Source organism: Homo sapiens, chromosome 13, assembly GCF_000001405.40.
Source record: "Homo sapiens chromosome 13, GRCh38.p14 Primary Assembly".
NCBI classification, from domain to species: domain Eukaryota; kingdom Metazoa; phylum Chordata; class Mammalia; order Primates; family Hominidae; genus Homo; species Homo sapiens.
Window position 1 is genome coordinate 91935152 of NC_000013.11, and position 21722 is coordinate 91956873.

A 21722-nucleotide genomic window follows, 5' to 3' on the forward strand; every position below is an offset into this window, starting at 1 on the left:
CAAGATAGGTGAATATGAAAGCCATGGATATACTCTTATGGATAAGAATAATCTCATCTGAATTGCTAATCATTTGGCTCTGAGGAGAGTGGGACATATGGTATTATGGTCTAAATGTTTGTGTCTTCCAAACTTCATAGGCTAAAATCCTAACCCCCAAAGCAATGTTATTAAGAAGTGGGACATTTGGGAGATGATTAAGCCATGACTGCAGAGCCCTCATAATTGGAATTAGTGCTCTTATGAAAGAGAAACCAGAGAGCTACTAGTTCCTTCCACCATGTGAGGACACAGCAGTAAAGCATTGTATATGAAGCAGAAGGGTGGCCCTTTCCAAATATTGAATCTGCTGGTACCTTGAGTTTGGACTGTCAGCCTCTAGAATTGTAAAGAAATGATATTTTTTGTGGTTTATCAGGCATCTAGATTTTGTGGATTTTGTTATAGGATCCTGAACAGACTGAGACACATTGTATCAGGAACAGCCTTTAGGTTTTTGGCTTAAGTTTGATTGATGGGTGGTATAATTTCCCAAAATAGAAGTCACTGGAACACAGCTAATGCATGGGAGGAGCATTCGTTTACCTTTAGATGTTAAATTTGAAATGTTTTTGAGAGTTAATGTCAAGTGCAAAATTGACTTTGCTGGTTTTGACCTTAAAGGATAAGTTAGACCTATAAACTGTATGACAAATCACCAGAGGAAATAGATCTCATAGATATAGATGAAATTGCCTAGGGAAATACTATAAAGTGACAAGGGAGTTGGGTCTATGACTGAGCCTGGAGGAAGAAACCCAAGATGTAATGTACCCAGGTAGAGAAGTATGAGATCCTTACAAATATTACTCACTTAATTTTGAAAAAGCTTCCTCCCTGTTTCCCACTCCTATCTTCACTCTGTATATCAACAGATTTTAATTACCAAGGTATAGATATTTGTGACATAACAGTGATTGTATTAACTAGGATAAGCAAACTGTTATAAAAGATGATGCTCAAGTCTCTCTGTCTTGCCGTGATAAGTTTCTGTCTCACCAAACCAACCAATAAACCTAGGTCACAAGCTTTGCACTGAAGAGTGACTCAAGGATGCAGGCTTCTTCCATCATGTGGATCTTGCCTCCTTTGCCTTAATGGAGTCCTCTTCATTCAGGTAGTGGGTAAGGAATGGGTAAGCTGAATCACACAGTAGGTTTTAGTAGGATTTGCTTGGGGGTAACCTATAACGTTTCTGCTTATTTTCCACTGACAAAAGCTCAACAACATGGCCGTCTGAGTGCAAGAGAGGCTGGGAAAAGTAACAAATTAATTTTGATGACCACAAAGCATCATTTTTGCCACAGAAATCTAGCCAGAGTTAAAGAAACTTGTAACGAAAGTATACATATTTGGTTTTTTATAATTTTTCTTTCTTAAATCATACAGTCTTGTTATTATTCAGTCTACCACATAAGGGGATGTATCCAACATGTTCCATTGTTTAGAGAGAATAGGAAACAAATAGTCATGTCATCATTCTAGGATTTTCTTTGCTCCAGGATCTCAAATAGATATCTCCTCTGAAATTGGCTCAGGTTTCTAAGAAAATAGATAGAAAGGAACAAATTTAAGCATGGGAGTCAATTTGTTTGAGAGTCTGCATCCTTTCCTGATGGGGCCTTGGGAGCCATCTACTAAGCAGCTGGAGATGAATTCCACTGCAGCTTTGACATTTTCCAAGCCAGTCATCCATTCTTCCCTGCTTACCACTAGGGCTCTCAAAATTATGCATATCTAAGTACTATATGTGAGCTGTTGCTCTACTGCTGACGGCTTATCTCATATGCACAGTGGTGGAGAGCTGCACCACACAGTCTTCCATTAAACAGATCTGAATGCATTCTGGCTTATTTGTTGTTCAAGATTTTACCCAGATATATCCACAACAGACAAACACAGTACATCTTATCTTCCCTAATTTAAATGACAAATCTTTGATTTCTCTATGCCTATGACCCTTGACAAAGAAGGCAGTTTGGTCAACTATCATGTAACAACCACTCATGTAAAGGTGTCCCATTAGCTTGGGAGTCCCTCTTTCTCTTGAGTTATTTTCATTCAAATATCTTAACTTTGATGAACATAAACACATTATGTTTGATGAGAGAGAAAAAGGATGGCAATTATTTCTTTGAAAATGTTAAAAGTATATTGGACAATATAGGTCTCTTTTTACGTGATGTTTCTGATTAGATTTAGCTGAGCTTTTACAGAAGAGCGAGTTGGAGGTGGGAAATTGGGCCAGCAAGTTACCATCTGTGGCACAATGTTGAAATCCTCACCGGTAAATGCCTTAATATTGATCTTTTATATGGGTTTGAAGAACTGTCATGAAGATCTATTGACTTATATGGCTACAGATGAAGCTTGCAGATACTGTTTTCCAGATTGTATTTTTCCACACTAGGTTTTTACAAAAATATAGTTGGGCTTGTTTTGAAAGATACATTAGGAGAGAGAAAATGGATTTCCAAGATTGGATAGACAGAAACACCAGGTTCAATTTATGACTTCATTCTGAATTGTATATAGGTTTATTTAGACCGGATAAGACAAGCAAATATAAGTGGAAGCTAGAAAGATAAACCTTAGGGTGTAAAATAGCAATGGCTCAAAGATCTAAGACATTTTATTATCTAGAGAGGCGCAGAAGTCTAAGCACCCTTCATTTTCCTGTATGAGAAGTGAGAAAATACCTGTATGAACCCAAAACCTGACCCCCTTATATTGGTAACACATCTGATATGTAAGTATGTTGATATTCCCCTATATGTATTTGAATAATATTTTATGAACTGAGAATTCATGAGACCATTTTCAAGTACAATGGGAAACTTTGGAGATTTCCGGAGCAAGTTCAGCTGAGATTTGTGGCAGCCTAGAGCTCAGAGATCTATACTAAGTGTGTTAGTCTGTTTTCATTGCTAAAAAGGAATATCTGAGATGGGGTAATTTATAAAGAAAAGAGGTTTATGGTCTCATGGTTCTGCAAGCTCTACAGGAAGCATATTGCCATCATCTCCTCCACTGCTGGTAAAGCCTTAGGGAGATTTTACTCATGGTGGAAGGTGAAGAAGGAGCAGGCATGTCACATGGCAAGAGACAGAGCAAGAGAGAAAGAGGGGAAGTGCAACACTCTTTTAAACAATCAGAACTTGTGTGAACACAGAGTGAGAACTCACTCATTACCACAAGGCAGGCACCATGCTATTCATGAAGCATCCACCCTCATGACCCAAACACTTCCGACCCGGCCCCAACTCCAGCATTGGGGATTACATTTCAACATGAGATTTGGAGGGGAAAGACATCCAAACCATATCACTAAGATTGATTCCTTTGAACTAAGAGCTCTAGTGATGCTCTACCAGTTTACAGAATAGATGTCAAGGCCACTGCCTACTGGCCAATGTTTAAAGAGCATCCTGTACCCAGAAGATTCAGGGATGGAAAGTAAAAATGTAAGCATTTGATTTCTTCCTATAAGAAAGGTACTTAATTCTTCCATGGTATATTTTATCTGTCCTTATGAAACTTGCCTCCTACTTACATCACTGTTTGCTATTAAAAAATTGACAAATGTAGGTATGTTAAAGTGTCTATATAAATATTAAATACATATTGGTATACATTGGGCAAAAGACAGATGCTTTAAAATTATGTGAAATATCCTTGAATGATAGTTTTAGTTTTCTGTTTTCTTAGTGATAATGAAAAAGAATATCTTTATACTGAGTTTTCAATTTTTATAAATATGCAAAAATGTAGTGCCTGTGGCAATTGAACCCTTTGTGATTTTTAAATGACTACTGTCATTACTTAGATACTGTAACATTTTAGGAGTTAAGTAAAAATATTACTACTAGAAAAATCCCTGTTTTTTGTTTTTGCCTTTCTCGTAGTGCTGATCAATATATATTTATATAATTCTTAAGTGAATGATAGAAAAAAATTACAAATAGAAGTTTTAGTAATGCTATCATGTAAAAAAATTATCCATCTTCCTCTTTTATACAGGCTAACTTGATATGGGATTTTATCTACATATGATTGGCTACTAATCTGATAGCAAATTAAGAAATCATAGAATTTATGAACTAAAGGCTGCTTAAAACAAATTAATTTTAATTCTTTACATATGAACAAGCAAGATTCAGAGTAGTTTTACTTACTCTGAGAGTATTAGTTAATATATGACGTAGCCAAGGGAGGCTAGAACTCTAATCTCTAGGTTGAATTCTCTTTCTACCATACATAACATCAGCAAGGCTGAATCTTGTTGGGTGTGACAGAGACCACTGTAAGCATCTCACAAATATTAACACTTGGAATTCTCTAAGTAGCTCTTGACTTACATGTGTATAGTTTTCCCAAGCATAGAGTTCATGTAAATTATTTTAACATGGATTTAAGTAGTTAAGTGACCTCATCAGATTTACACCTTAGGAAACTTGTTCCAAGATGTTAAAGGATTTATTGGTTTGACAGTAAGTGAAGTTGGAGAAGAAAGCCTCTTTAGATGACTTCAGAAGATTAGACCACATATGAGAGGATGAAGTCATCAAGCAAGACTACCACGAGGGCTGAAGAAGGGGTTGAAGGAGATGGAACTGACATACTGAATTAATGATTTATGGGACACATGAGACAAGGAAGCCAGCAATGCTCTACCCCTGTAATCATATAGTCCAAACTTTTCTATCCTCCTTACAACTCTTTTACCCCATTGGTTCCACCACATCTCTTTTGGGCCCTGTTTAGACCTCCCATCTTTTAATGCTTACATGGCCTCACACATCGGGTCTATCCAACCTAGATTCCACTCTCCATCACTTAACAGTTCTTGATAATATTCTCAACTCCCCTATTCTATTTTGTTTTAACTGGAAAAACCTTCATGGATCAACCCAGTTGTCTTCCTTCTTTCTTAACCCTGTGCTGCTGGAAAATCCTAAGGAAAATCTCTAGTAGTCCATAGTGTCTATTGTTTCCATCTTTATGTCTGTGAGTACCAATGTTTAGCTCCCACTTACAAGTGAGAACATGTGGTATTTGGTTTTCTATTCCTGCATTAATTTGCTTAGGATCATAGCCTCAAGCTACACCTCTTTTGCTGCAAAGGACATGATTTCATCCTTTTTTATGGCTGCATAGTATTCTACGTTATATACATACTACATTTTCTTTATACAATCCATTGTTGATGGGCATCTAGGTTGATTTAATGTCTTTGCTATTGTGAATAGTGCTGCAATGAATGTATAAGTGCATGTGTCCTTTTAGTAGAATAATTAATTTTCTTTTGGTTGTATACCTAGTAATGGGATTGCTGAGTTGAATGATAGCTCCATTTTTAGTTCTTTGAGAAAACTCCAAACTGCTTTCTACAGTGACTGAACTAATTTAGATTCCCACTAGCAGTGTATAAGCATTCCCTTTTCTCCACAACTTTGCCAGAATCTGTTGTTATTTGACTTTTTGATAATAGCCACTCTGACTGGAATGAAATGGTATCTCGCTGTGGTTTTGATTTGCATTTCTCTGATAATTAGTGATAATGAGCATTTTTTCATGTGTTTATTGGCCTTTTGTATGTTTTCATTTGAGAAGCGTCTGTTCGTGTCCTTAGCCCATTTTTTAATGGGGTTATTTGTTTTTTGCTTGTTTATTTAAGTTCTTTATAGATTCTGGATATTATACTTTTGTTGGATGCATAGTATGTGAATATTTCTCCCATTCTGTAGGTTGTCTGTTTACTCTGTTGATAGTTTCTTTTGCTGTACAAAAGCTCTTTTGTTTAATTAGGTCCCACTTATTCATTTTTGTTTTTGTTGCAATTGCTTTTGGCAACTTAGCCAAAAGCAGTTCTTTGCCAAGGCTAATGTTAAGAAGGGTATCACGTACATTTTCTTTTATGATTTTTATGGCTTGTTTTTGTCAGTGTTATCAAAGATCAGATGGTTATAGGCATGTGACTTTATTTCACTGCTCTCTATTTTATTCTATTGGTCTATGTGTCTGCTTTTGTACTACTACCATGCTGTTTTGGTTACCGTAGCCTTATAGCATAGTTTGAAGTCAGGCAGTGTGGTGCATCCGGCTTTGTTCTTTTTGCTTAGGATTGCTTTGGCTATGTAGGCTCTGGGCTTTTTTATTTTTATTTTTTGACATGATTAAGTATTCAATCCAGTCCTTCAATTATTTATTTCCCTTCAGGTATTACCCTGTCTCTATCTCCCCCTTCCTAGCCAAGCTGTTGAATCATCATGCTTATTAAATGTTCCTGGGGATTAGTTCCTAGGAACTCTCTCTTCAAAGTCTGTTTCACTTTTCTGGGCAACATTCTCCTCCATGTGGCCTCTTAGGTGGACTGAGAATCTTACATGTCTAGATCCCTCAAAATCATGGGTATAACCACAGCTGAATGATCACATTGGTTCAGATATCAATTTGTGCAGAGGGATCATGTTTTAGCCAGGTTTATCTCTACTGTCTACTACCTAGCTCAAAGTGGGCACTTCATGTATGTTTCCTCAATCACTTCTGCAAAGTAAATAAATAAATTTCAGTGGTAAAGTGAAATAGTAGTATTTATTTGTAATTTGATTGGTAATAAATGTGATTTGCATACATGTTTCCAAGAACATCTCTTTGGTAAAGCAAGATAAAGTTATATTTCCTTCCCTCATGCTTTCTTTTGCAACATACTCAACAATAGAAATTGTGCATATTCAAGTTGTACTTCTTGATGGTGTGATATATGTGTATATTGTGAAATGATCACCACACTCAAGTGAATTAATGTATCCATCACCTCAAGTGAATTAACATATCCATCAACTCTATAATTAATTTTTTTGGTGATAAGAACATTTAAGATCTAACTTCCTAGCAAATTTCAAGTATACAATACCATACTGTTAACTATAGCCACTGTGCTGTCCAATAGATCTCTACAAAGTTATATTGTTGGTCTTATTTATGTAAGCTTCAATTTACCCTTTTCTTTAAGGATCCCATATTTACCTGACTAAAAAAGGTACCATTTTTACTCAGAATTATATGAGTAAAAATCTGCCCTCTACCTTTAATTCCATAATAGACTTAATTCATATATAGCTTTACTTACTACATTTCTTGTTACAGTCATTTTATCATTCAAGCTGGTGCATACAGTCCATCAAGTCTCTAACAATAGAACAATGACACAAAAAATGGAAATCTATACTATGAACAGGTCTTATATCAAACCTTTCTGATTAATTCTCCCTTTAGTCTCAACTTCTAACTCATCCTGACTGAATCAATCAAAAAGCTATTACTTTCATACTTGGAAGTGTTGCTTTCAAAATCAATAAAAACTCAGCTCATTTTTAATATGCAATATATTACAAAAATGAAAATTTCCATTTACTTCAGGTGGAAATTTATGAAAAAAGTAGAGTAGTTGAAAACTCTTGTGAAAAAAATATAGATATAGATATACTACTTTTATGACACTGAAAACTTTCATCATTATTAATGTTTTGTATGTGTGTGTGTGTTAGATATATAATTTAAAAGAAGACAATAAGTTGGTGCCTTTTGTCAAATTGTTGCTCAAGTCATGCATCTGAAACATAGGCACTGAGGGAATCAGCATATTTGATAATCTTTTAACTACAATAATTATACATGAAAAATACATTAACCATCCATATACATATTTAAGAAAATTATATTTAAGCTCTTCATGGAGACATTAAAAACACCATGCTGCATAAATGATAAATAATTATATCATTCATTAATAAGGAATAAATAGCTCTGTTTTTTATTTGAGAATTATTAATTGGATTGTCCATCTGTATGCAGGAACATCTGTTTTCTGACATGCTTTAATCACCATTTGTTTTGTACTTGTACCATAATTACACATGTTGTAATATTGAACTCAAGACAATGATGAAAATCAACTTATGCATAAGATTCTGCTATGCTTTTTCATTTCATTAGAAAATGTGTAATTCTGGTATGACATTTATAAGTATATATAAAACAAAGTATTTGATTAACAAAATGCCTCAACAGATTATGTCAGTTAAATGAGTGTTATATCATGTAGTGTATGTTATTATTTTGGCAATTTTAAGAAAAGTTTATTGCTTCACTGAAGCTTTTTTTTTTTAACTGACCATCTATGAATTTTCTGTATTCTTTATTTCAGTGTGATCACATGGTTATGGAAGAGACGTTTTTAGATCATCAGAAGTTGACAGTTTTCAGTGTACTGTATGTGCTTTGTATAAGATGGAATTGAGTTTGGTGTATGAGTGATTGATGAATTTTTACTGAATGATGGATAACTGCTGTTCTTTTAATGACATTTCATCAATCAACTATTTTTGATAAGGTTGATCACAAAATGTTGCTGACTCAATTTTTGTGGATTAACTGAGGTGAAAGTGATACCTGGTAGAAGTTTCACTAATACAAGTTTTCCTCTCTTAGGAGTAGGACGGATTATATTATTTGTCGAAATACCTTTCCATGTAAGTTCTTAATGTTAGCTTTCTTGTCCTGTGAACCATATCTTTTCTGTATTTGCTGAAATAGAGATGTAACATTGTTAAATCATGGAAAATGAATGCCTCTAAATCTGCATTCCTTCTTACAAATTACAAGTTTGAAATGACTTTTTTTTTTAAGAAAAAAAAGATGGATTTCTGGTATTCTATGGCAGAATAATCTCCTGCAGCCTGTCTTTCATGTTGATTACAACTCAAAATATGAAAACTACCTAATGGTTCCCCACAATGAGTGGCAATTAAATTAGACTCTATGCTATTTTTACTTTCTCAACTTCTCCTGAACTATTTGATTTTGATTTTTGTGGCAGGATATTTCTTTTTCTTTTTCTTTATTTCTTTCTTTTTTTTTTAAGACTGAGTCTGGCTCTGTCGCCCAGGCTGGAGTGCAGTGGTGCGGACTCAGCTCACTGCAAGCTCCGCCTCCTGGGTTCACGTCAATCTCCCGCCTCAGCCTCCTGAGTAGCTGGGACTACAGGCACCTGCCACCACGCCCAGCTAATTTTTTTGTATTTTTAGTAGAGCCATGGTTTCACCGTGTTAGCCAGGATGGTCTCGATCTCCTGACCTCGCGATCCGCCCGCTTCAGCCTCCCAAAGTTCTGGGATTACAGGCGTGAGCCACCGCGCCCGGCCTGTGGCAGGATATTTCTTAATATTTGCCTTTGTGCCATTTAATGTGTTCATACTATTATGGGCAAATTTTGAGATTTAAAATTAACCCATTACTCTCAGCTATTCTAGATGAGGCAATCAGGGAGCTAATTCCTATTTCCCCTTTCTTTTACTCTCTCCTCCTAGTTGTTATAGTTGAATTACTTGTACATTATCAGAATCATCAGTAAAATGTCTATTTACATTTTCTATACCATATATTCCTTAAATCTATATAAATCTATATATGATGCATTTAATGCTTACCTCTTGCCTTACTGGTAGTATTTCACCTACTCCAAACTAGGTTGACTGAACTTTCTCCTGTGGTAAATCTCTTAATAAGAACTTTCTGTAAACAGCGTTCCCTGCAATTATGGGCGCTTATAACTGTACACTTTATAGCTGATAGATATGTTGCAAAGATAAGGATAACCACTGGCTTCTCCTTTCTCTTCTTTCTCAATATTTCCCCCCATTTTCTGGTGTTAACTTTTGCTATGGAAAACTCTGAGGCCAAAATGATTTTCTTTTTCTGTAAGTTAGTTGACTGTTTTTGATTAAACCCCAAACAATAATTTCTTAATCTTTAAAGTCTTAGTCCCACACAGAGATATATCTTGGAGTTGAACATTCTAAAAACATATATAAGCATATAATACACCGTAATATAAATATATGTGCTTATGATGATCTATCTTGGCTTAATATAGGCAATAACTTTTTCCTAATTCTATCCTATGTTTTACAGTTTTTGGATTTTAGGACAGGGGAAGGGATTCATTGCATATTCTTTTCTCACTTACACCCTTTACAACCCTTACATTATTTGGGGTTCAGTCCCCCTTGTTCTCTTTACAATTTAGTTTTTTTGTTCTACAATGATTTTGTTTTTAAATCCCATTTCTTTCATGGATTCTGCCAGTTTCTATTGCACTTTCTGGCTATCTCTTCCCCATGCTCTTGTATTTCACTTCATGGTCTCTTTATCTTTTATTACGCTCTTAAAATTTATGTTGGAATGTATAAGTGTTCATTCCTATTTTCATCTGTTTTGTAGCAACAGGTTTCTGGTGATTAAGAGAGTTGATATATTCCTTTTTATCTTTATTCTTATAGTATTTTTACATGAATGCTGAGAAAATTCCTTTAGTGTTTCTCATATGTGAAAGTTGAATTTCCTTGACTGGTTAATAGCAGGACTTTCCTCTAGGACGAAGGAAAGGGGTTGTAGAATGTGCCCTAGCCTGGTAGCTCAAGGGCCCACTCATCATTTGCTACTGTGACAGACTGTTGCCTCATTTGGGGGACATTATGGAGCCACTGCTGTTCTGCTTGGTAGTGCCCAAAATGGTTTGGGACAATTTCCATCTCAAGCCTTACGCTTTCCCTGTTTGCCACCAACCTCCCTTCAAGTGATACAACCTGATACAACCCTTGCGTTGCAAAGTGATTCATACACTTTTAGAAGTTATTATTTTGTAGTTATTTTTCGGGGAATTCGCCTCTGAGCCCCAGTGAGCATTTTTTAGAGTATTCTTTCTCCATCTCCCTGAAGACTCCTATCTTGTTGGCACTTAACTCTGGTCCAGCATTTCTGACTGTGGTCGGGGGCGGGGGCTTCTACTTCTGGGTTCATGTATTTGCTTGTGAGTCTCTAATGATCTAACCCCACTAGGACTCCTACCTTCTGTTTTTTATGCTATTTATGTCTGATTTCCCAAAATGTACTCCTTGCTCAGCTTAGTACTGTTCGTGACAGTCTGTTATATAATTTGAAATTTGGGGTCTTTCTTTGTCTCATGGTTTCTCTGAAAATAAAGCTTACTGTTTTGTGGGGATTTTTTTTCCTTCTGTTTTCTGGGAGAAGTAAGATGATTCAGAACTAAGCGCTGCCATGGAAATGTATGAATCTTTGCATGTGTTTAAAATATAAAAAGGCAATATTTAAATTTACCATTACTCCATATGCTTCTCCATCTACCTCTTTTCAGAAAATTTAGTTTGCTATCTGTTTTAGGTTTTACTCTCTAACATAATTATATATAAAACGCAATTTCAAAAAAAACGATAAGAATAATCTAGGCTCTTTTTGAAGGGAAGTAGTGAGGCCCAACATCTACAGAAGCTTTCTTTTTTGGTAATCAATTCTGTATTTTCTGTAATATAAATTTACCTACGTAGGTGCAAATTATCCCTAACACCTCAGATTGCATGTTACGTGACAGCCCCGGTAAGTCTAGTGAATGAACAGCAGATGTCACTGTTGGATGAAATGAGCTAGTCTGCTCATCCCACCTTCTCTCATCTGAAAGTGCCTTTCGGGGTCCAAATCCTGGGGTTTATAGATAACGAGAAAAAAAAATTAAAATTAAACTCAATACCTTGAGTCTGTTTCATAGCTTGGCCTGGTACCTTAGGCCATAGGATATAAGCCAGCTTTGCAATTAACTCGACTTGTTCATTTGAAATTAAAGCACATTTTTTTTTTCAGAGTGTATTCTGCATAGTGGAAAATGACCTGAGATGTTTGAATTCTGAATTCTTGTGTCTTACTTTGTGCTATTGTTTCCAGTTTTTCAACACATACCTGGAGGTTTAACTCCAGCAGCATTCCATCTGTTCACGCAGGGCTTTTAAGGCACAAGTGACATTGTTAACCATTGCACACAGAAGAACCCTTTAGTATTAAAATGTAGATTTGAGCAAGGTCAGATTACTTTTAGTGTATTCATCTCCAAAAATTCACCTTCTAATATATTTTACTATACAATGTTACGTTTTCAGGTACCCATTTTCAATCCTTATTCATACTGAGGATTCAAATTTGGATACTTGTAATTTTCAGATAGCATTCATTTTATGTAAAAAAAAATATAAAGAAAATGACAGCATTTCCTAGGTTTAGAATCTCACTACCTCTATTCTCCTGCTGGCTCCTCCTGCTAACTTTTGAGTAATTTCTCCCTTTCTGGGTCAGGAATTCTTCTGGGTTACAACTTATGTACAACCAGTATATTGTTATTAATTAATTAAGTTTAATTTTGGTCTCCAGTTTTCGACTTCATAATTTATTCCTACTCAAGTATTCTTAATTTTGTTTCACCACCCCATTGTAGAAGAAACACCAATCAAAGAAGCATGACATTTTAATCTTAATTTCATCAGCCTTTGATTGACAAGCTCATATAATTCTTGCTGCCTAATGTGCTAGTAGAGCAGTTGAGAGCACGACTGAGGAAACAGTGGCATAGAAGACACATTCAGTCTTTTGAAGAATTAAAGTTAAAATTATTTAGTAGATTTCTGTCACTATTTATTTTGCTTCCAATTCTGCAATTACATTTTGCTAGTTGGAAGTTGGGACGGGAAGGAGCAGAGTTTCCCGTCCCCCCAACCCCTGCAGCAACAGCAACCCAGAGCACAGTACTTGGACCATAATAGGCATGTAGTAGTTGTTGAGTTAATGAAAGAATGATTGAGTTGATAGCACTTTGGGAGGCCGAGGCGGGTGGATCACGAGGTCGGGAGATTGAGACCATCCTGACCTTGCTCAAGTCTACATTTTAATACTAAAGGGTTCTTCTGTGTGCAGTGGTTACCAATGTCACGTGACCATCCTGGCTAACACGGTGAAACCCCGTCTCTACTAAAAATACAAAAAAATTGCCAGGTGTGGTGGCGGGCGCCTGTAGTCCCAGCTACTCGGGAGGCTGAGGTGGGAGAATGGCGTGAATCTGGGAGGTGGAGCTTGCAGTGAGCCGCGATCGCACCACTGCATTCCAGCCTGGGCGACAGAGGGAGACTCTGTCTCAAAAAAAAAAAAAAAATAAATAATAATAATAATAAATAAATAAATATACTTATAATGCTTATTCATTACGTTACTAATTTTAGTCTAATAATGTACAACAAGCAAAAGTGAAATTTGAAAAAGAAATTGATATTGAGGACGAGCATAGATATTCATTCATTCATTCATTCATTCAATTAATATTCATTGAATGTGTACTACTTTCTAGGCACTGTTTTGGGCTGGGGATACATCAATGAATTCTCTCTTATGGAACCTACGGTCTAATCTGGGAAAGAATTTGAGGTGAATGTTTTAGTCATGTTGAGCTTTTTTTTAAACAGAAAAATCAATCAACTAAGTTATTTGTTAAACATAGGTCACTTTTTAAATGATGTTTAAAAATACCCCATGAGTTCATAAAATATGTGTTGAGGACAAAACAAATGCAATTTTAATAATACAACCATTTATTCAACTTTATAATTTCTCTCTGATGGCTAGATTTTGGCACATGTGATAAGTACTTCAATCCATTTTGTAACAAACTGGGTTATATTGGATTTCTAGCATATGTTAAATACAAGGCAAACTGTAATGCTGCAGAGTCAAAGTAAATTAGCCATGCAATGGCACAAATGCAATTTTAGTATGCTTTGTTAGTGTACATGTCAGTCATGTTTTTGTTTTTTCTTTTGTGCATTTATTACCATCAAGAGAGACATATGGTATGTCAGTGGTACAGCTTACTAAGGTGTCTGAGAGGGAGATATTAAGAAAGTGCACCAGATGGTACTTAGCTCCATAAGAGCACAGATGATTACCAGGTAGTCGTTACTATCTTCTCTCCTTGATACTCATACATAACTCATGGCACATATGGAAGCAACCTTCTAAATACTGATGTTTTATCTTTGAAATGTTCTTTGTGTGTTGCTGCCCATTTGTTTTGTGCTAACTCACTGCCCTATTGCCTTCAGTTGTAACCACCTATTTAAGGTAAAAACGAAGGACAGTCATCTCCATGTGTTTTCAGAATTCAAATGAAAAAATAAAAAGAGGCTGATGTCACTTCCCAGTTTAACCTAGGGGTTTTGCTTATGTATGTACACTCAATCAAACTATGAATATTACAAATGGTTTTACCACTACAGTAAAGATAGTTAATTCATAACTCTATAGAAATGAACAGTGAAAGATTAAAAAAGGAAAGCAACAATTCTAAACTATAAAATCTACTTCAAAAACCTACATACAGCAAAAAGAAAATAATGAGATAAGTTTTATGGTTCAGGAGATACCTTTCTATAGCATCCTTAAAGGATGCTAAAGGTATAGCTTGCTAGAGTATGTGGTAGGAGAAGTTAACATGGATAAAATTAATAACACTCCCATTATTTGATGGTCTATAGCCAAAGAATAATAGAAAGCAAGTGAAATGCTTAGCATAGCCATTTAATCTACTAAATTAGGTTTGTGAAAATGGGAATGCCAAATGCCTTAAGGCTTACTGCAGGTACAAAAGCAAAAAATCAGAGGTCAACCTAAGGATATTTTTAATATAAAATTAATGTACCTGCATTGTAAGCATTATATTATTTTGCATGGTAGAAAGGAAAAAAATTCTTGTATTATTCTACTATAAATGTGTATTTGCTCTACTACATTTGCATGTCATTGTCAGCCTTTCACTTTGTCTTTAGCTAACAGGAACCTCTTGGCTTCACCCTTTGGAGAATTTGATATCATGGAAAATGGACTGAACTAGGAGAAGAGCCTTTGTTTAGACCGCATGCTGAGGTCTAGTGGCATCAATTAAAAATATATAAATGCTTAATTAAGCTTTGGAGGGAACAGCCTATCTACAGAAAAATTTAAAACTTGGTCATGGCAGGTACAGAGTTGGGCCCCATTAATTTTGTTGACAGCAGGGTCAGCAGATTCTGTAAATTTTCACTATACCTCTTTTATGATTTGCCACCACACCATTCATGCTCTAACCTTATTTCTCCTCACACCAATAGCAGAATTTTTCCCTGAATTTTACTAAAACTGCCAAGTTTTTTTTTTTTTTTTTTTCATGAATTAGCATCTTTAGCATTCTCTTCCTTCAGCCTGGGATGAAATTCTCTGCTCCCCTCCCTCCTCCTCCCTCCCAGCCCCACCCTCCACTAATGCACATTTGTGTTTTGGTTTCTACACCAAATGAGCTACCTTCAATAAGCATCCCACAAATCCACAGGGAACTTTTATTACTCTACCTTCTGTGCTGTCTAAGCACTTGGCTCAGAATGAGAGATCTGTCTGAATTTCAGATCTACAAATTACTCATTGTGTGACCTTGGACATATCCCTAATATTTTTGAGGTTCAGTTTTCTCTTCCTTAAAGTTAGAATAAAAATACCAAATTCCTGTGTTTCATGAGAGTAAAATGAGATGATGTTTGTAAGAGACTCAGCGCAGTGTCAGTATCTACCATGTGCTGTATACTCTGCGCTTTCTACTGTTGATGCTAGTGAATGTTTTTAGTATTTGCTATATGCCAATAGCTCTTCTAAGTAAACTCTATGTGTAATAACTCATTTAATGGTAGCTATTATCATCCCTATTGTAAGAAATTGACATTGGGGCACAAAGAGGTTTAGAAACTAGCTCAAGATCGCATACCAGTAAATAGCAGAGAGAGAATTTGAACCCAGGGACTATGGCTACAGAGTCCTCATTCCCTCTGCTGCCCACCACACCTAATACTATTTCTACTGCTATTACTACTCCTCCAATGGAAAAAACTGCTGACACACTGTTTTAGGGTGTGTACTGATCACATTGTTTTATAAAATTTCTGTGTATCACTCTACAGCTAGTTTAAGAGCTCCTTGAGAGTGATTGAATTATCTGTTTTGCCCATTTAGCATGCCTGGCCTGTACTAAAAGCTTATTAAATATTTACTGAAGAATGAATTAACCAAGTTCAATAAACATGCAACAATTTTAATAATTATAAATTATCTAAAAGATCATTTTATTCAACCCTGTATTGATCTCTGTTTTCTATCAGAGATGTTATAAATAAACCATGAATACATAAAATTCGAGAATTACTAAAATTGACAAACATTGTGTGTGTATATATATGCATGTGTGTGTGAATATATGTATTATGTATATACAGAAAGAGAGAGAGAAAGCAGAAAGAACTGTTCGTTAACTCTCTTGATTGTGAATTCTAAATGGAAAATGCAAACAAGTCTTCAGTGTTAAAGTACATTCATACTTTTAATTCGTTTAGCTCAGTCAGTTTACTTAATTTCAGCATTGCTGAAAGTTGTGTCAGAAGAGACACACCTTCTGAATACCTAAATAGAATTTTGGTGACATTTTTAAAGCATTTATTACAGAAAACAGAAGATGCTTTCAGATATTAGTTTTCTGCCTACTGGTCACATTTTTACAAATGTTAGGACTGTTTTCATACAGAGACCATATGGTTGACTACAGTAGAATTAAGGAATAAAATTAGAGGTGTGTCTCCAAGGTAGAAGAAAGGAAAACATCAAAATTAGTTGTAATGGTAGAAAAGTAATTCCGTTTTGGTCTAAAAAATGTATGTTGCTCAGTGCACTGAGCCATGTCTCATCAAATCAACATTTCGTTTGTCTAATTAGAAGTCTATACAACATATTTACTACTTCCAACAAGAAAGTTTTCCACATAAAATCTTTCTCTTATGAAATTATAAGTGCTTGAAAATAAGTAAATGGGTAAAGCTGTTTTTCTTGAAGAAGAGAGCCTCATTAAAATGATGACTAACTGAATTATTTGATTTGAATAATTTTAAGTATAATGTAGGCAATTAACTGAAAACAGTAACGACTTTTGAATGTCTCTTATTTGGTATATGTTCTGCTAGGTATTATGAATACAGAAATCAGTCTTGTCATGTTACCATTTTGGGTGATCTCTCTTTCTCTCTCTCTCTCTCTGTGTGTGTGTGTGTGTGTATGTATTTGTGCATACTTGTGCTCCAGGCACTGCAGTGGTTACTTTAGATAGATTTCTTCTATTCTTCACAACAAATATTCATTAGATGTTAGCACCACTTCAAAGATTAAAAAGAAAAACAAATGCAGGCTCAGTGATGTTAAGTAATGTACCTGTTTACCCTGCAATTAAACCTCAAAGCCAGAGTGTGATCCTGAATCTGTCTGCTTCCAAAGCCTGTGCTTTGCATATCAAATCAAAAGTTCTTCAGAACATGGCCCTGCTCTCACAAATCCATATTGGCAGATAAATACAAATATCAATAATATAGTGTAATAAGCAGTATGTTTGCAGAGATATATAAACAAACCAGAAACCTTGAGTTACCAAAAAGAATCTCTGGGAATGAAGCAATAAGGATCCCCCAATGAGAGTATATGCTTGAGAAGTGTAGGAATAGGTTTTAACAAATACAGAAGAGAATTTTTTCCAGGTCTACAGGTTCAAAAGCAAAGGAGAGGCCTATTATTTCAGGCACATTCAAGAAAAAAAATACGTAGTTTGATAATCCCTGAACAAAAAGATACATTAGATAAATATATGGAAATAGAGAGGTTGGCTAAACTGAAACTGTGAATGCCATGCTGGATGTATTGGACTCTTTCCTTTGGGAAATGGAGAAATTTTGATGATGTATTACTCTGTTTTGTATTTTCAAATTCATCCTCTAAATGTCAGAATTTAGAGGATAAATTGGATCAGTGGGATTTAAAGCAGATAATTAGACAATTATTGGCTTAATTCAACAAAAAGATAACTTGGTGTCCTGGAGAGGACAATAAAAATGAATATTAGAGACTTTTAAAAGTAATATAATCTTAAAACTTTGCCACTAATTGCAAATGGGATGAGGAAAATTAAATGCTCGAAGTTGATGTCAAGATTTATGGCTTACATGGCATAGTTTTATCAACAGAGAAAGGAAACAAGCTAGCAAGCACACTTGGGGTAAGGTCATTGGCTAATTTTGCAGATATGTTGAGTTTGATGTTTTTGAGCTGGACCTGATGAATATTTAGAAATCTGGGAATTTGAAGTTAGGAGTTATTTTTGAAATTGCTTCTTGGTAAGCCTGAGAACTATATTTCCAAGAATTCCTTGCCAGGAGAGTTTAGAAATTTAAACTGATTCTTGCTGTGGGTTGGACTCTATGTCACCCCTCTGAGGATAAAGCTGAAATTGTAGTAGCTACCGAGTATGTACAAACCAAATTACAAAATAAAATTGGTAAATCTCTTCTAAAATCAATCAAGGGAAAAATGATAGAAGACACCAATTAACTTGTAAAGAATAAAAAAAGGGTACATTGCTAATAATAGAATGTAATTATAATAGGATTGCCCTAGTTCATTCGGGCTGCTATAATAAAATACAATAGATTGGTTAGCTTATAAACAAAATAACTTAATTTCTAATAGTTCTGGAGGCTAGGGAGGTCCAAGATCAATGTGCTGACAGATACTAAATCTGGAAATGTTCCATTTCTTGGTTTATAAATGGGCCCTTCTTGCTGTGCCTTCTCATGGCCAAAGGGCCTAGCTAGTACACTGGACCTCTTTCATAAGGGCACTAACCACAATTATAAGAGCTCTGCCCTCATGGCCTAATCACCTCCCAAATACCACACCTCTTAATATCAACCGCTTGGTGGTTTGGATTTTACAATATGAGTTTTGGGAGAACACAGACATTTGGACAATGGCAAAGATATAAAGAATAACTCTATGCCAACATGCATGAACAATTACATACACATCAAGAAATTTTTAGGAAAAAAAACTTTCTTATGTTGACAAAAAATTATGAATGGTTCTATATTTGTTATAGTAATTTATTCTGTGATTTAAAATCTTTAAATCTTAAAAAGATACAATTCCATAAGGCTTCACTAGTAAGGTTTTGCAACCATTTTAGGAAGGCATGACATCGTTCTCATACCAAGTATGCTAAAGATAAGAAAAAGGGATGGCTAGTCCCAACATATTTTATAAAGCCAGCATATAATTTAAATTAAAGAATGTTAAAGAGATTGCAAGAAAGAAAAATAACAGCCCATTTTCTCTATGAATAATTACTTCAGATCCTAAACAAAATATGTGTAACAGGAATCGGTGATATATTGAAATAATAACACATACAGACCAATATTGTTTTATTCCAGAGATGCAAGCTTGGTTTGATATTCAAATAACAATTCGTATAGGCATCAAAATAAATACAAATAAGCAAAGTAGAGGAGAAAATGTATATGCATAAGCAACTCAGTAGAAACATAACAATATTTGATAAAATTTAACTTCCACGTATAAAAATTAGACACTACTACTAAGGGGAAATCCCTTAACATGATAAGTTTCTAAAAAGAAAATCCATGAACAAACTCCAAAGGCTGTAATTAAATGTAAATAATTAAAAGATTTCTCTTGATATTTGAAATGCAAAAAACATACTTTAAGTACTAATTCTGTTCCATAATTACTGTAGTAGATACTCAATAAAATAAGACTGATATCTAAAAAACCCAAAAATGTAAGGATTAAAGAGAAATAAAATCACTCTTACTGACAAATGATGCAATTGTGTATCTGTAAAATCCCTAAAATTTCCAAAGCTAATCATGATTATAATTAATAACTGATTTTAGCAAGACTATTGGATATAAGCTTAATTTCATAAAATCATATTCCTCATTTCCAACAACATACTTTTGAAAATATTTTAAAATATACCATTAAAATGCCATTAAAATATCAGATAATTAGGAATTAATCTAACTGAAGATATACAAGATGTATAGCATGAGACTATATGACATTGAGAGGAATTAAATGAGATCTGAATAAATGCAGGAATAGATCATGTCCCTGGACTAGAAAACTCAATATTGTAATATTGTTTATTCTCCAAAAATTAATCTGGATATTCAGTAAAATTCCAGTAAAATTTAATCTATGTGTGTTTATGTATTTAAATTGGCAAGCAGATTCTAAATCAATTGGAGGAACGCAAATAGCCAAGAACACTCAAATTTTAAGAAGTACAAAGTTAGAAGACATTATGCTTCTGCATAGTAATACTTATTATAAAGCGGTATTAAATGTTATATTGTGGAAGATGGCTGACTAGATTAACCTGGTACACATCTCCTGGACAACGAAGAAGCAAAATAGCAAGTAGATAATCACACTTTGAATAGACGATGTAAGAGAAAATGCTGGAATAAAACAGAGAAATGACAGGAAACACCCAAATCAAGGAAGAAGAGGGAAGCAAGGCAGCCTGGTTAGCCACCTGGGATTTGTTGGGAGCCCACAGAGGCACCCCAACTTAGGGAAAGGGTAAGTGGGAGACCCCCAGTGGTCCCATTCCCACTCCTAGCCATGGGAAAGCCCCTCAACCCTCATGGGCCCTAAGACTAACACAGGGAGCTTCTGAGAGACTGTACAACAGCATTCCTCCAGAGGAGCATAATAGCTTGTGCTGCATTCCACACTCTCCCTGAATTTTAAGCAGCTGCAGCATGGTGCCATTTGAGATCTCAGTCCCCAACAGACTGTATCCTGTCCTGTGGCTAAACACATCGCTACAACTCTGGAGCCCCATTGATATCACCTGCCTGCAGTGACAGTTGCAGCTGGTTACTACCAGCAGGGTCAAAGCATGAGCAGTTTACAAGCACCCTGAGGACAGCCTATGCAGCCTGCAGCTGCCACCTATGGCTGAAGTACACACTCTCCAGCTGCCTGCCTACAGTACATCTGCTGCCACTGAAAGCCAACCACCCTCCCCAGCCACTGCTGCTCCAACCAGAACATTTCACCAGGGGCTTGAGAATCACCTCCCCAGTGCCTACCACAGCCACCACCTGTATGCAGCACTGGGGAGCCTGAAGACAGGCCCACCCAGTTCAGTTTTCTCCCCCCCACCCCAATACTCAAGCATGCCACCTGGTGGCATGGATCTTGCCCAGCCTTGTGCACAACTATTGGCTCCTGAGTGCTTTTTCCAGGAGCAGGAGGTTGGGCCCACCCAACCTGCCATTGTCATCACAGCTGGCACCCACCAGCATGCATTACTTATGGGCCTGGGGACTGGCCTGCCCAGCCCATTGCAGCTCCCATCAACACCAATAAGGACCTCTTGGGAGGCACAGGGTTTTCCTGCCACTGCTGCTGCCATTGCTAATGCCATGTCATACTGCCTAGAAGCTTGAGGATCCACTACCTGCCTGGCCCACAGCTGTCACTGTAGCACCCAAGAAAGCCGCCAGAAATGGCCTGCCTGTGCCCACTAAAACTGTATACACCATCCTGGATCCCAAGGAAAGGCATGCTAGGCCCACTGTTTCCACCACTGGGGCCTGGAGACTGACCTACCTGGCATCCCTATCTCCAGCAAGACTTTACCACAGCTTCCTCTAATGACTGCAAGGCACTAAGGAAATCAGAGACAATACTACCCTGTTTACAGCTGAAGAAATCATATGGAAACTACACTAATGTGCACACCCAGAATCAAAGCCAAAGTACCCTATCCAATTATTAATAACACCAGAGATACATTATCAGGAAAAAGTCCTTCCCTGTGAAAGCAAATTTTAAAAATAGGAAGAAGGGGCTTGTAAA

General features: G+C 36.0%; 1 protein-coding gene across 3 annotated transcripts in view; it reads left to right on the top strand.

Annotated features, from left to right (window-relative positions):
* The window catches only part of GPC5 (glypican 5), a 1468617-nt gene that overhangs the window by 536531 nt on the left and 910364 nt on the right, over window positions 1-21722 (top strand). The gene's annotated exons all lie outside the window — the stretch shown is intronic.